The 15,563-nt window shown below is 55.7% G+C and overlaps 1 protein-coding gene and 1 long non-coding RNA gene across 9 annotated transcripts, besides 2 other annotated features; one reads left to right on the top strand and one right to left on the bottom strand.

Moving 5' to 3' along the window:
• Positions 1–3,304: 3,304 nt before the first annotated feature.
• Positions 3,305–4,161, bottom strand: LOC102724956 (uncharacterized). Its single transcript, XR_429947.4, has 2 exons — positions 4,068–4,161; positions 3,305–3,620 (listed from the first exon to the last, which is right to left on the bottom strand). It is a non-coding gene; the product is annotated as an uncharacterized LOC102724956 (long non-coding RNA).
• Positions 4,146–15,111, top strand: TBC1D3I (TBC1 domain family member 3I). 8 transcript variants are annotated; one of them, NM_001291463.2, is made up of 14 exons: positions 4,180–4,335; positions 5,764–5,836; positions 5,999–6,084; positions 7,368–7,407; positions 7,890–7,970; positions 8,414–8,521; positions 8,851–8,960; positions 10,209–10,257; positions 10,801–10,921; positions 11,635–11,729; positions 12,114–12,179; positions 12,643–12,742; positions 13,113–13,265; positions 14,228–15,111. In NM_001291463.2, the coding sequence occupies exons 2-14, from the start codon at positions 5,765–5,767 to the stop codon at positions 14,794–14,796; spliced, it is 1,650 nt and encodes a 549-aa protein (NP_001278392.1). In that variant the 5' UTR covers positions 4,180–4,335; position 5,764; the 3' UTR covers positions 14,797–15,111. The 8 variants fall into 8 exon arrangements, with proteins under 8 accessions (XP_006722287.1, XP_047291060.1, XP_011522487.1 ...); XM_006722223.4 differs by having other exon boundaries at positions 7,185–7,407; XM_047435105.1 differs by having other exon boundaries at positions 4,479–5,836; positions 7,185–7,407.
• Positions 4,215–4,714: an enhancer, noted in NCBI's record as "H3K4me1 hESC enhancer chr17:34591505-34592004 (GRCh37/hg19 assembly coordinates)". NCBI's record gives its function as "activates a minimal SCP1, AML or CMV promoter by ChIP-STARR-seq in primed H9 embryonic stem cells {active_cell/tissue: H9 hESC(primed)}" and the evidence as "EXISTENCE:reporter gene assay evidence [ECO:0000049][PMID:30033119]".
• Positions 4,715–5,216: an enhancer, noted in NCBI's record as "H3K4me1 hESC enhancer chr17:34591003-34591504 (GRCh37/hg19 assembly coordinates)". NCBI's record gives its function as "activates a minimal SCP1, AML or CMV promoter by ChIP-STARR-seq in primed H9 embryonic stem cells {active_cell/tissue: H9 hESC(primed)}" and the evidence as "EXISTENCE:reporter gene assay evidence [ECO:0000049][PMID:30033119]".
• Positions 15,112–15,563: the final 452 nt, after the last annotated feature.

Here is a 15,563-nt window from a genome sequence, read left to right as displayed (position 1 = left end):
TTCCACTATCAAAAAAACAGGTAATAATTCAAAGAAATTTCAGCATTAAAATCTTCAGTTTCCCAGTTTAAAACACAAGTGAAACAAGGTTGGCATATAAAAGTGCACTGATAACAAGCTCATTTTCAATTTTTCTACTTGATGTTATTAAAGGATAGAATGTTAGTGTATCCTTGCTTTGTTTCAAACCCAGGATTAAGTCTTCTTGGCCTCCTATATAGACTGCACTTCAACTGAGCCAAATACTAAGTAAGGGCTGTACCAAAGAGGCAGCTTGACGCCTGGTAACAACTTTACAATGGAAGTTTCCTATGAGCTAGGGAGGCAGAAATCGGAGATAACATTTTCCTGAATGAGTCTTTACTATAGTCACTCAGGAACATATCTTACATGTACGATAGTAAGACTCAAGAGGGTTTTTTTCTGATTGTCAATGTCCTGAGACTTCAGTAAAAGAAAATCTCCAGTGTGACAATTCCAAATGCCAGTCTGAAGCCTGAGTCAATTTGCCTAATAAAACTGATTTCACCATTAAAATAGCAATAATTGTTGCCTTGGTGGAACAGTTCTATAATAGCTAAAGACAAGAAGAAGCAGATAATTAGTAAACTCAAGTTGAGCCAAGTTTTCTAACAAGAAACACTGAAAAGAGCCATTTGCAGAAGGTCAAAAATAATTACCATTAATGTAAAAATGCAAAAGGCACAGAATATTGGTATGTGATGTTTGTGGCTACTAATATGCAATTAAAGTTTTAAACTATACGTAGGAATAAAAAGGAATAATACGCACCTACCTGAAGAAAGAAGTTACTTCTAGAGGCAGGGTGGGACGAGATGGAAACGGGCTTTAGTGGTATCTGTGACATTTTATTCCCCCCCAAAAAAAGCATGCACAGTCTGATGAAAATGGGGCAAAATGTTAACATCTGTTTAATCTCATAGTGTGTGACTTTCTTGTATTTCTAAAATACTTCCTAATTTAAAATAAAATTTTAAAGAGATTACAAGTGACCAAATAAACCAAGAACCACATACTTGTATGGTGTTCAAAACAAAATCACTAAAATCTAGAGAACTAATCTCAGTTAACAACAAAAGCCATCCGAAGGCTCAGTTATTTCCAACTGACTCACATACAGATTAGAGTAAGATTTACTTCACAACAAGAGCAGGCTCATTTATGTGGCAAAGTTCGGAGAAGCTTCACAGATAATTTACTACTCAAGACCACATTTACCCAGGTTGTATCAGAGTATCAGTTGTATCTAGAACCAGGAAGCTAAAAAGAAAGAAAAAAAAAAAGGCCTGGATGAAAAGCCAAAATAGGTGATACAAAGTCCGTACAATAAAACACATACCCTTTACTCAGAAGAGAATCCAACAAACTCTCACACAGCAATTGATTTTTTAGCCCAAACAAGCTTGTTTATCTGGCTACTAAGGCTTCTTCAGATGAAGTTCAGTAAAATACAAGAGGGAAGAAATTGCACAACAGGCAGCAACAAGGCACAATAAGCAGCAAGAAGAATCTGAGAGTAAGGAAAACAAAACAATTTTAAAGAACAGACACAGGCTAGCCGGGTGCGGTGGCTCAGGCCTGTAATCCCAGCACTTTGGGAGGCCGAGGCGGGTGGATCACAAGGTCACGAGTTCGAGACCAGCCTGGCCAATATGGTGAAACCCCTTCTCTACTAAAAATTCAAAAATTAGCCTGGCATGATGGCAGGTGCCTGTAGTCCCAGCTACTTGGATGAGGCAGGAGAATCGCTTAAACCCGGGAGGCGGAGGTTGCAGTGAGCTGCGATCACGCCACTGCACTCCGGCCTTGGCGACAGAGAAAGACTCTGTCTCAAAAAAAAAAAAAAAAAAAAAAGAACAGATATGGACTAGGCGCGGTGGGTCATGCCTGTAATCCCAGCACTTTGGGAGGCAGAGGCGGGCGGATCACCTGAGGTCGGGTGTTTGAGACCAGCCTAGCTAACATGGTGAAACCTGGTCTCTACAGAAATACAAAAATTAGCCAGGTGTGGTGGCATGCACCTGTAATCCCAGCTACTAGGGAGGCTGAGGCAGGAGAATCCCTTGAACTAGGGAAGTGGAGTTTGCAGTGAGCCGAGATCGCACCACTGCACACTCCAGCCTGGCCTAGGCAACAGAGTGAGACTCTGTCTCAAAAAAAAAAAAAAAAAAAAAAAGAACAGATATGGCTTGGCGCGGTGGCTCACACTTGTAATCCCAGCACTTTGGCAGGCGGAGGCAGGCAGATCACCTGATGTCAGGAGTTCAAGACCAGCCTGGCCAACATGGTGAAACCCTGTCTCTACTAAAAATACAAAATTAGCCAGGCGTGGTGGTGCATGCCTGTAATCCCAGCTACTAGGGAGGCTGAGGCAGGAGAACTGCCTGAACCCGGGAGGCAGAGGTTGCAGTGAGCCGAGATTGTGCCACTGCACAATCTCCCTCCTGCCATCTTGTGAAGAAGGTGCCTGCTTCCCCTTCCCCTTCTGCCATGATTGTAAGTTTCCGGAACTGCAAGTCAATTAAGCCTGTTTCCTTTATAAATTACCCAATCTCAGGTATTTCTTTACATCAGTGTGAAAACAAATGAATACAGTCCCCTTCCCTGAGGTGCCTTCTCCTTAGGCAACCAGCTGCCCCCATGCTCCTCTTCTGCCCCCCTGGTATTTCCTTTCCCCTCATGAGGCCCAAGTGATCCACATGGCCAGCCACAGCCCCATCCTACTGCAGGCCTGTGTGGCTGCTAGAGAGGCCAGGCTCCTTTCCGCACCCCGAGGCTGCCTGATATGCTTTCTGCATCCTGTAGAAAACTGACCCACTATTCTCATACTGGTGCAACTTCTTCCATTACCTCAAAACTGGACAACGTGAACTTGTTTCTTGTCTCTTCTTGCTAGGGCTGTCACTGGGACAGTCCGAGATGGGGGGGTGGGGGGAGACAATGGATGAATGGATGGATGAATGGACAGTAGTCCAGGGAGATGTCCCTGTGTGTCCTGAACTGGGACCTTCCTCCAATGAGAAGCCTTCCTGAGTGAGTTTATACAGTCATCCCTTGGTATCCATGGATTAGTTCTAGGGTCCCCGGGGATGCCAAAATCCATGGATCCTCAAGTCTCTGACATAACATGGCCTAGTATTTACATATCAGCTATGCACATCCTCCCGTAGACATTAGACCATCTCTGGATTATTCATGATGTGTAATACAATGCAGATGCTACATAAATGGTCGTGATACTGGATTCTTTAGGGAATAATGACAAGAACAAACTCTGCACATGTTCAATAGAAACATAACCGTCCAATTTATTTTCTGAATATTTTCCATCTGCTGTTGCTGAATCTACAGATGCAGAGCTCCTGGATACGAGAGCCAAGTGTGCTTTGAGAGTAGGGTGGGTGAGGTTGCTAATGAGTACAGGGGAGCAGGTGTTGATCAGGAGGACCCTGCACTGGGGCATCTGGACGTCCTGCCTCAGGACTTGAGACTCCAGTTGGATGGCACAGGCAGACTCAGCCCAGGTCAAAGCCGTCCCCTTGAAGTTTCTTTTTATCCCAAGCTCTTTCTGGCCCCTGGAATTTGGCATCCCCTAGGCCCTGTGTGGAAGGACAGATGAGCCAGGTTTTAGATAACATGTCTAGAAGAGTGAGCCCCTACTGTGTGCCCGGCACTTTCCCCACAGGATCCTCTAGCTAGAATATCCAAGGGTCATGGAGAGAAATACCCAGTTAAAATATCAGAAATGAAAAAGCGATACCATTAGAGACACTAAAAAGACCATTAGGTAATAGTACTAGCTTTTGTATTCTGAGATCCAACAGCAGCAGTCACTTCCCTCCACCCCTATGTGTATCCCAGGACCACCCTGGGCGGGGAGGGCTGAGGTTAGGGAGCAGCCATGGATGCTCTGATGCTGGCCCTGGGCCTCGGGGGTGACAGTGATGAGGAACTGGGTGCACACATGAGTGGGGCAGCCGGGCCTGGCCAGAGAAGCAGCACACACGTGCACAGATGTGTATACCCACATACACATGTCCACGCACGTGCACAAACACATTGCAGGCAGGCATGTTGACGCCTCAGGCAGCGGAGGACCCTGACTCTGGGCGCTGCTGACCCGGGCAAGGCCCCACTGTGATTCGTGCCATGACCTCAGAATGTCACTGGTGCTTAGCACCTATCTGCTCTCTGGTCTGCCTCAGTGGTCTACAGCAGTTACACACAGGCAGTGGTATCTGTGAGCAGCTCTGTGGACTCAAAGGTTTTCTCCCTGAGAGGCATGACCCAGGCCAGCTGATTCATCAGAATCAGGTGAGCGTGACCTGCTCTCTTCCCTCCAGGCGGACTTGGGGGCAGTGGCTACGGTGCGGGCGGTGTTGGCCTCTGTGGGGCAGCTACCGAGGAGGGTCATCCCTGAGCACTCACCAGGCGCCCGTTCTACACTGCCCGTGTAGACGATTGGCTCTTTCGTCTCCATGGTGGCTTCGTAGAGTGGGTGCTGTTCCCAAATGTCCCCATTCGACAGATGAGACGTCTGGGGTCAGAGAGGCAGTAACCGGCCTGGGAATCCGGACATGACCCTGAGTTTTGCTCTCAGCCCTGCCGTGTGCTGTGCTGGAATTCAGGCCTGAACCCTGTGACCTCCCTGCCCTAGATCCCAAATCTGCCCAGGTTTCCCATCCCGATGGGGCAGAGCCTGGTCCTGGCAGAGCCACTGGTATAGAGCCACTGGTACAGATCCACTGACGGTCCTCAGAACACCTCTGTGCCCTAAGCTGGGTCCTGATGGTCGCTGTGGGCCCCACTGAACACACATGGTCCCTTGTCCGGGGGAGCCTGCTGCCCTTGGGCAGCTGTGGAAAATGAAGGAGCCCTGGAGGGCTGGCTGAGGGGAGACTATCTTCCCTTGTGTTCAAAGGGGTCCGGGCACTAGGGTTCTCCCCAGGTATTTCTTGCTCTGCGTGGTCCTCTTGAGGCCTCGCCCTCCTTTTGCCTCGAGTATTCCCAGGAGGGACGGTCCATCCAGCTGTTCTCCAGGACCAAGGACCCACTGTTCTTCCTCAGTGACCCAGGAAAATGAAGCCTCCTCCTGTTGGGACGGCTCAGAATGGTGGACTCCACAGTCCCTCCGCGAGAGACGTGGTTTCCATGCGTACAATAGATCTTCCTCATCCTCCAAACCCAACACCCTCCTGCTCAACAGGCGTTATTCCTAAAGTGGCTTCACTGTTCAGACTGAAGAGCCACGGTAGCCAAAGTGATGAGCGGAGTAGAACCGAGCAGTCGGGAGAGATCTTGTTCCCTGTAGGAAACTGGGCATCGCTGAGGCCCTGAGCATCCCAGGAGGCCGATTGCACAGAGACCTCTGGTCGCTGACCCCAGTCTGCCTCCACATCCCTGGAATAGCCCATCATGGGCCCTTCACCCTTGGCAGGTGGAAACCATTCAACCTGCTGGGGCCGGTGTGTCCCCATTTCATGGCATTGGGGGACAACAGGATTCTCTGTCTAGGTCCCACTGTACTCAAGTCCTTGGGAAGATGCCCACCCCTGCTTGGGACTTGAGACTCCAGAGACTGGAGCAGCTGTGGGCCACTGGGTCTGGCCCCTTTTTCCCTGGGGGCGGCGGTGGAATGGGGGTTACGCAGCCAGCCAGCATCTGGGAGCCCGGCGAGAGCGGTTCAGGTGTTCTCCGAAGCCGCCGCGTACAGTGTGACCTTTAGACAATTCTGTCTCACAGGATGGACGTGGTAGAGGTCGCGGGCAGTTGGTGGGCACAAGAGCGAGAGGACATCATTATGAAATACGAAAAGGTACAAGTCGGTCTGCTTCTTGGAGGGAGGCCTCTTCCAGTGTGCCCTGGTCAAAGGGTCCTGGGCTCCCTAGGAGCACAGGGCAGGGACGGGTGGCCAATGCCCCCAGGCCCTTGCACCCTTTACCTTGGACCCCTCACCAAGGCTCCCTCTGGGCTACAGGGACACCGAGCTGGGCTGCCAGAGGACAAGGGGCCTAAGCCTTTTCGAAGCTACAACAACAACGTCGATCATTTGGGGATTGTACAGTGAGTCCTCTGCACTCCCCTCACCCCTAAAGCACCTGTCTCAGCTCAGGGATGGGTTTGCTTTTAGAAAGGCCTTTCTGACGCAGGACATGTCTCACCAGGTCGGGTCAACCTCCTTTCCAGGGACAGAACTCCTCCCTGACTCCCCTGCAGGTCCAGCCCGAGGTTGTTAGGCCAGAGGTGTGGGGCCCATCTAGGGAGCCGGTGGGAATGGAGACTGGGCTAGGTCAGGCCCCTGGGCGCTCAGCAGTTCTGTCGGCAAGTGAGCACAAGAGGAGCGGGGCAGCCTGAGGGTCTGGCCCTGTCTACTTGGAGACAACCCCGGTGAGATGCAAGGGTTATGGCCACAGGGTGAGGGGACGCCTGGCCCAGCCTCAGGGCTGTTGTCCAGCAGGTCTCTGAGGGCCCACCTGCCCCTGTTCTCCCCCATTCCCCTAGAGCTACAGCCCTCACTGTCCCGTGAGGGGAAAAGGCATGGTGACAATGGGGGCTGTAGCCCTAGGAGAACGGGGGAGAAGATGGGCAGGGCCCCGTTCTGGGCATCTCACGGTGAGGCCAGGGAGGCAGCAGGGCTCGCGGCTAAAGACCTGGGTCTGGTGCTGGGAAGGGATCTGGGGCCGGGTAAGAGGAGCCCAGCCAGAAGCCCATCCCTCAGGGATCACAGGATGGAGAGACAGAGGATCCCTGGGGAGGTAGGGCGGGAGGGAGCTGACGAGCGGTGCCACTTCTGAAACGCAGGGTGTGTGGCTCGGGTGCAGGGAGAGGCAGGTGGATGCTGGGAGGTCAGAACCTGCAAGGGCCTTGGGGCTGTCAAGTGGGGTGGGCCCCTGGTGCAGCCAGAGTACACCGGGCAGGTCTCAGGGCAGGCTCCCTTGACCCTGGCGGGGGGATGTGGTCACTCCCTGAGGGACTCCTGTCAGGGCCCGGTCGCCCACCCTGGGCGGCCCCCATCCCATCTCAGGGCTAACCTTTCTCAGCTCCAGCAGAAAGCACCACCTCGAGTCCAGGACGGGCAGCCCCATTGGGCAGCCTGACCGCCCCCCACGCCAGGGGCCCCAGTAACCCCGGCCAGGCTGTCCCTACACTCCTTCTTCTCCCAGGTCCTGCCCCTCCTGGGAGTCAGCCCCACAGGAAGGCCCTTGTCCTCCCTTCCCTGTGCCTTCTCCTGGGCTGAGCCCTGAGCTGGAAAGGGACAGAGCCAGTCCTTTCTGGGGGTCGGCACCCAGGCTGGGGCCGCTCCAGGCCCCGTGCAGTTCCTCAGCTCTGCCTGGGTTGCCTTACAGTGAGACGGAGCTGCCTCCTCTGACTGCGCGGGAGGCGAAGGTAAGAGCCTGATGCGTGGAGGGGCTGGTCCAGGGACGTAGGGACTGGGCGGGTGGTCAGTGAGGCAGAGGAAGCAGCTGGCCTGAGCGGTGGCGGGTGAGGGCAACACGCTGTCACTGGGAGGGGCAGCAGTCCCTGCTGGACCTGACCCCAGGTTGCTGTTCACTTTGGCAGTTTGATAAAATTCCAAAAGGAGAACCACAGTCCTGGCTTGGGGGTGGCTGCGCGCTTGTGTCAGGACCCCACCTAGAGGCTGGGACCTAAGACTGGTGTGTCTGTGGCCTGAGGATGGTACATCCCGGGGTCCCAAAGCCAGCCCACTGGTGCTCATTTGCTCAAAGGCTCTCAGCCCTTGAGGTCTGCCCTTCCCTGGCTCCTTCCAGCTGGCTCCCACCAGGGCTCCAGAGCCCAAGACCCAGCATCCGCGGGCGGCTCTGGGAAGCCTGGCAGCTCCGCTAACTCCAACATGCCTCATTTGACAGCAAATTCGGCGGGAGATCAGCCGAAAGAGCAAGTGGGTGGATATGCTGGGAGACTGGGAGAAATACAAAAGCAGCAGAAAGGTAACGTGTGGAGGGAGGAAGCACTCTCTGCAGAGACAGGGGACAGGCACCCATGGCTGTGGCCTGGCACCATCAGCCTCTCAGAGGGTGGGCGGCACACTGTCCTCGCCCAGAGGACTGCAGGCCTGGTCGCCAGATTTCCTGCCTATTCGTGCAAGCGTCACCTTGCAGGGAGGGAATCTGAATCTAGGGCTGGGACTACCCGGAGCTCAAGGCTAGGGATGCCCTGGGGACCTGAAGGAAGGAAAAGGTTCAGATCAGAGTTTCGACTCTGAGTGTCCATCCACTCTTTCAGTCCTGGGAAGGGAGACCCTGTCCCAGCTTGATCTCACCTCTACTGAGGAATCATGGGGCCAAAACCGACAATTTCCAGAATCCCCGGGCTCTGGTCCTCACTGGGGTCACCCCGTGGCCTGTGACACCAGATTGTTTTCTGCCTACAGCTCATAGATCGAGCGTACAAGGGAATGCCCATGAACATCCGGGGCCCGATGTGGTCAGTCCTCCTGAACACTGAGGAAATGAAGATGAAAAACCCCGGAAGATACCAGGTACGCTCAGCCAGAGCACAACAAACAGGACAGGCCGTGTCGGTGCCCAGGTCTCCAGCTGGAGGGAACGTCAAGACCACCCTGGGGAGCTGGGGGTGAAGGTCAGATGAACACCCTGGGCACAGATGGTGACACAGTCACCACAGACAAACTCAGCTCTGGTGACCCTCCCTGGCTTCAGTAACAAGCCAAAATGCAGCTTTCTGCAGAAGGAAACCTTCCTTCTGTCCTTCCTTCCCGAAGTGCTGACTGTGGGCTGACTGCCACTGGGGGCAGGGAGTCTTCCATCTGTTCTGAGACTGCTTCCTCCTCTTGGCCCTGCCCTACAGATCATGAAGGAGAAGGGCAAGAGGTCATCTGAGCACATCCAGCGCATCGACCGGGACGTAAGCGGGACATTAAGGAAGCATATATTCTTCAGGGATCGATACGGAACCAAGTAAGCCTACGGGAGCCACAGGGTCCCAGCAGAGATGGGGTGAATGAGAGGGATGGGGGCTTCCCCGGAGCAGAAGCCAGGGTCACCCAGGAGGGATGACACAGCTGCCAAGAGCTCTCCCGGCCCAGGGAGCAGCCGGCACCATGAACCGAGCACCTCCCTGGTTCCAAGCCCTGGGCCAGACTGGAACATGTGGGGCCAGAACCCAGGAGGATCCTGAGGAGATGGAAGGCAGCAAACAAAATCATGCACAATGGTGAAGGGTGCTCTCCCTGACCCATGGGGACCCATGGTAGGACCCACGGGAGGGTGGCAGGATAGAGGGCCCATGAGCCCCCGCCAGGCAACAGTGACAGCACCAAATGCTGGGAGAATTAGGGGTCCTGGAAACTCTCATCCAGGTCCGCTGGGAACATGACATGGCACAGCCACGTTGGCAGCCCGTTGGGCAGTGGCTCACAAAGCTCGATGGACTTGAACCACACATCCCCAAAGTGTCACAGATATTGAACCCACTGATTTGCAAACTGACATCCACATGAAACCAGCATGCCAGGTTCACTGCTTGACTCCTCGTCACTCACACACGGAGCCTTCGGGGACGGCCTTCAACACGGGGATGGGGAGAGCAAGGCTGGTCCTCCCTTCAAACGGAAGACCCAGTGAGAAAAGGGAACGAGCCGGTGATGCCCGCACGAACGTGGGTGGATCCTAGATGCATTTTGCTGAGGGACAGAAGCCAGACCCAATAAGCTACCACAGTAGGATTCCCATTCCTAGGCCATTCTGGAAAAGGCCAAACCACAGGGACTGAGAAGCAGTCTGGGTGGCCAGGGGCTGACGGATCGGGGAGAGGCTGGTTGCATAGGGGCCACCCTGGAGACTTGGAGGATGAAGGAGTCGCCCCAGGAGGGGCTGGAGCGGTGGCCGGGAGACTCTGCACATCGGTTTGGAACCGTGGAGGAACTGTACACCCACAGACTGAACTGGCGTGTGTGCAAACTGAAAAAAAAAATCATTCAGAGTGAAAAGGATCAGGCAAGTCACTGTACAACTGGGCTATTTGCATGTCACAGATGTGGATTTTACTGAAACATTTCTTCAAGAGTCTCAGGCCCTGAAGAGCTCACTGCTTATCTGGTGAAACATCTGAACCTGAAATGGGATTTGCTGTTAGGCTTTGTAGACAAAGTGAAATTAACAACATCTGCACAAAACAAACCAAAGCCCCCTTTCTCTGTTTCCTAGGCAGCGGGAACTACTCCACATCCTCCTGGCATATGAGGAGTATAACCCGGTGAGTATTCCCGGCAGTGAGGTTCCCGGGCCATATTTCCATATTGACAGGAGTGGGTGTCTGGTGGGGGTGTCGTTGCTTCTTTTAAAGTTAGTATTTGTGACCCACCAGGATATAGGAGGTAGGATGTCAGCTCACCGCTGGCATAAACCTCCAAGGAAGGGGGTGGTCTCAAGGGGTCAAGCTGAGACACAAAGGAGTCAGGGCCGGGACTCCTGGTGTCACCTGGGCCTGACCACCACTTCTCAGAACAAGAAATGACGCCCTCCTCCTGGGGCTGCCCCAAAGCCCAGGAGCTTGGCAGCATCGCACACAGGATGGTGCTATCAGCAGACATTTTGGACAAGGTGCTGAAGTGCCTGATGGACTTGGCTCTTGTCATGAAATGAATGTGCATCCTGAGGAAGCCTCTTTTTCAGAGGAAGCCTCTCCTTCAGAGGAAGCCTCTCCAGTCACCTCTGCCCTCTCCAATGACATGAGTCCTCCCAGGTGACCTCAGCCCTCCCAGGTGATGTCCTTCCATGGTGACTCTGGCTCTTGCAGGAGGTGGGCTACTGCAGGGACCTGAGCCACATCGCCGCCTTGTTCCTCCTCTATCTTCCTGAGGAGGATGCATTCTGGGCACTGGTGCAGCTGCTGGCCAGTGAGAGGCACTCCCTGCAGGGTAAGTGAACAGCTGCCCCGGGGACCTCCTGCAGCCAGACCTGGGGATGGCCACCCTGGCCGGGTGATCACAGCTTTCAGCCAAGGCACCCTCCTTGTGTCGCCAGCTTGTTGGGAGACTTTAGAATGTCTCTGCTGAGGGTCCCACAGGAGTCCACGGCTGACCCCCAAAGCCCAAATCAGACGCCTGTCATCCCCATCAGCAGAGGGCATCTCATCCTCCCCGTGGCCACCCTCTGTGTCCTGGAGCCACGCCCTCCGGCTCTGATTCTGTGCAGCTGACTCTCCCCTCCCTGAGAGTCCTCCTGCCCTCCAGCTGCCCAGGCTCCTGCTGCCATCGGTGCCCACGAATGGGCCGACCAAGCCCAGGTGGCAGCATCTCCCCATCCCCTGTTCCCTGGCCCGACCCCACTACCAGGAGATGACCGGGAAGCCCAGCGCCCACCCAGTTCCGGCCACCCTGTCGTGGCCTGAAAGTCAGGCTTGCCCTTTTTGCACCCTGGCCCAGGAGGCCTCCAGGGGAACCTCCAGCCAGGCTCCAGGGAATGTTCCCGCCCCACCTCCCCAGGGTAAAGGCCGCATGTTGGGGTCACCAGATGGGAGGGTGGGAGGCCTTGGGGTTTGGGGGCCTCTCCAGCTGCCCAGCTCTTGCAGCTGATGGCTCCACATCTTGGGGGAAGGCTCTGATTTCATGATGGGCTGGGGGCTTCTCAGGATTTCACAGCCCAAATGGCGGGACCGTCCAGGGGCTCCAAGACCAACAGGAGCATGTGGTAGCCACGTCACAACCCAAGACCATGGGGCATCAGGTGAGTTTATGGTCCCCTCAGCTCTTCCCAGAGGCCCTGCCTCCCGTGGGGCTGTAGGAGCAGGGGGGCTGGAGCCCCTCGTGGGGCTGGTGACTGGCTGAGTCCCAGCCAGGGCCTGACCTGGGACGTCGGGTTCTCCATGGGCTGGGAGTTGGTTTCCTTTCCTGCCCTGGAGGAGACAGAGGCACAGGGATGGGGGCCCAGCTCCCGCAGAGCAGGGCAAAGGGCAGTGTGTCCACCGGGAGTGTGGGAAGGTGACAGTGTTGTGGGGAGCTCTGGACACCGCCCAGTGTTCTGCACTAGGGGAAGGGTCTTCAGAGGCCCTGGAAGAGGGAGGTTTTTAGGGCAGCCCAGTGGCCTGAGCACCTCTGTTGCTTCCATCAGGACAAGAAAGATCTATGTGGGCAGTGTTCCCCGTTAGGCTGCCTCATCCGGATATTGATTGACGGGGTAAGGAGGCATAGGGAGACCCTGGCTCAGGGACCTTCCTTGCCCTGCAGTGCCCTGCTTCCCCAGCCCGGGGGTCTGGCTCACTCCCAGCCCACAGGAGGCTCAGGCGGGACCCCAAAGGACACACAAGCAAAACCCTCTGCCCAAGGGGGGTCATCCCAGGGCCATGGCTGGGGCTCAGGCCCAGCCTCATGGGCAGACTGGGCCAGGACCCGACTTGAGAGGGCTCAGGGAAGCCTCAAGCCCTGGGCAAGCCCCTCTCTCCAGGAGCCACATCCCCACTCAAATGAGTGCCCCCCATGAGGAGCTTCAAGACCTTGTCTGACCCAGCGTCCTGGAGGGCTCAGGCGACCCTCATGGGGAAGGTCACTGACTCTGGAGACTGAAGCCCCAGTGTGCGCAGCTCGAGCCACCAGCCCCAGCCTGGAAGGACCAGGTTCTTTCACACCTGCTGTCCCCACAGATCTCTCTCGGGCTCACCCTGCGCCTGTGGGACGTGTATCTGGTAGAAGGCGAACAGGCGTTGATGCCGATAACAAGAATCGCCTTTAAGGTTCAGCAGAGTAAGTCTACGTGTGCCCAGCGGGGCCTGGGGAGCCCTGGGGTCAGACCCCGACTGGCCCGAGGGCAGCTTCCTCACACTGTCCTCATGATCCTCTGTTCTGGCCCAGAGGGAGGTCTGGCCAGGTGGGCTGGGCAGGACACTGTGACACCGAGCCCATCCCCCACATGACCCAGATGAAAGTCGAGAGTGTGGTGAGCACTTCCCTGTCCGGATCGCCCCCCAGCCACAGTCTCCTGTGTATATCTGGACACCTGGGGTGGCCACAAAAGGATCCGGCACCGCCCAGTAGGAGACTGAAGTGGCCACGGGATATGAGCTGTGACCATTCCCAGGTAACTCCCCTGGCCTGATATCCACCCTGTCCCTAGAGCGCCTCACGAAGACGTCCAGGTGTGGCCCGTGGGCACGTTTTTGCAACCGGTTCGTTGATACCTGGGCCAGGGATGAGGACACTGTGCTCAAGCATCTTAGGGCCTCTATGAAGAAACTAACAAGAAAGCAGGGGGACCTGCCACCCCCAGGTGGGCTCCAGTGCCATGTCCCCTCCCATGTCACCCTCTGGGGTAGTCAGTAGTAGGGGAGTGCCCGGGACCCGCAACCCTACTACCTGGGCCTTCCTCTTCACCTTTTCTTCCTCCTCTTCCTCCTGGACTCTAAGAAAGTACAGGAGGCCCACCGGTCCTCAGGGCAGGCGCTCAGTGCGTGTATACTGGACATGCTGTGCACGCAGGAGGGGGATGTGGGCAAGACCCTCCAACAAGCCCCCTCCCACTTTCCACGGTGTCTCCCTCTCCCCCTCGCAGGGCCCTCCAAGTTACTAGACGAGCCCAGACCCATTTGTGGGAGACCCCGCCCCTCCCTGCAAGCACCCACAGCCTCAGAGAGCAGCAGAGGCCCCTCACTCCTGCACGCTCCTCCAAGGTTGCCAGGACAAGAAGCCTGGAGCCAGGGAGACAAGGGAATCCGTGTCCCTGACCCACAGAGCATTCAGGGAGAGGGCCCAGAGCCAGAGCCAAGAGTTCAGCCAGAAGTGGGAACGGTCAGTCCTGGCATGGACTGGGCAGCCCAGGAGGGCAGAGGGTGACCCACGTCCGGGCCCAATCACCCACTGCGGAGACGGGTCCCCACGTGAGGTGACAAGGGGCTGGGTGACATCCAAGGCCCCTCCCACCTGAGTTCTGACTGGGGGCCGTATCCCAGGCCCAACAGCCCTGGGACGAAGGTGTGTGGCAGGAAGCCCCCAGCCAGTCTGAACCCTGGGGGCAGTCCCAGGAGCCACCCGCCATGCCACGACAGCTTCCCCACGCCAGGCAGCATGCACCCCTCCCTCTGGGATCAGCAGACTACAGGCGTGTCCTCGGTGTCAGGCCACGGGGGCCACACAGAGACCCCGAGGACTCCGAGATGCAGGCAGGTGGGGCCCAGCCCGGAAAGGCCTGCGTGGGCTCACTGGAGATGCTGACCGCGTCTGTTTTCCTTTCAGCCAAACCCGAGCAAGGGTCGTCGGCATCCAGGCCTGTGCCGGCTTCACGTGGCGGGAAGACCCTCTGCAAGGGGGACAGGCAGGCCCCTCCAGGCCCACCAGCCCGGTTCCCGCGGCCCATTTGGTCAGCTTCCCCGCCACGGGCACCTCGTTCTTCCACACCCTGTCCTGGTGGGGCTGTCCGGGAAGACACCTACCCTGTGGGCACTCAGGGTGTGCCCAGCCCGGCCCTGGCTCAGGGAGGACCTCAGGGTTCCTGGAGATTCCTGCAGTGGAACTCCATGCCCCGCCTCCCAACGGACCTGGACGTAGAGGGCCCTTGGTTCCGCCATTATGATTTCAGACAGAGCTGCTGGGTCCGTGCCATATCCCAGGAGGACCAGCTGGCCCCCTGCTGGCAGGCTGAACACCCTGCGGAGCGGGTGAGATCGGCTTTCGCTGCACCCAGCACTGATTCCGACCAGGGCACCCCCTTCAGAGCTAGGGACGAACAGCAGTGTGCTCCCACCTCAGGGCCTTGCCTCTGCGGCCTCCACTTGGAAAGTTCTCAGTTCCCTCCAGGCTTCTAGAAGCATCTGGGCCAGGGCTCATGGCTGGATAATTTCCCTAGGCTTAACAACCCAAGCAAGCTTCGCGTCCTCGTTTTATTTTTGGTTAAACTTATGAAAATGTATTAAGAAAGAGTGCAGCTCGAGAGAGATTCAGAGATGGAACACACCAGACCCCAGATCACAAAGCCAACCATGCCCAGCCCCTCCCAGCACCCCCAGCCCCACGACCATCGTTCTGAATTCTGACGACACCGTGAGCCTGCCTTTGTACTTCAAACTCATGGAAGGATAACCACCTTCATGTTTTGAAATAAATGTTTCCTGTTGAAATGATTTTAGATTTTAGACAGAAATATTGAAAAGGCACTATAGTATCCTCCTATACCTTCCATCCAGCTGCCCCTAATAATGATGTTTTGCAGTCCCATGGCACATAAGAAATTTAGGCCGGGTGTGGTGGCTCACACCTGTAATCCCAGCAATTTGAGAGGTCGAGGCGGGAGGTTCAGGTTCACTTGAGTCTAGAAGTCTGAGACCAGCCTGGGAAACCTAGGTGGACCCGGTCTCTAGAGAAAAGTCAAAGAAATTAGCCAGGCATGGTGGCGTGTGCCTATAGTCCCACCTAGTCAGGAGGCTGAGGCAGGAGGATTGCTGGAGCCCACGAGTTCCAGGAAGCAGTGAGCCATGATTGCACCACTGCACTCCAGCCTGGGTGACAGAGTGAGACTTTATCTCTTAAAAAAATTTAAGAAATTTAATGTGGGTACAGTTCTATTAACTAAATA

Source organism: Homo sapiens, chromosome 17 (genome assembly GCF_000001405.40).
Source record: "Homo sapiens chromosome 17, GRCh38.p14 Primary Assembly".
Taxonomy (NCBI): domain Eukaryota; kingdom Metazoa; phylum Chordata; class Mammalia; order Primates; family Hominidae; genus Homo; species Homo sapiens.
The sequence above is the reverse complement of the archived record's forward strand: the minus strand, read 5'-3'. Positions and strand labels throughout refer to the sequence as shown.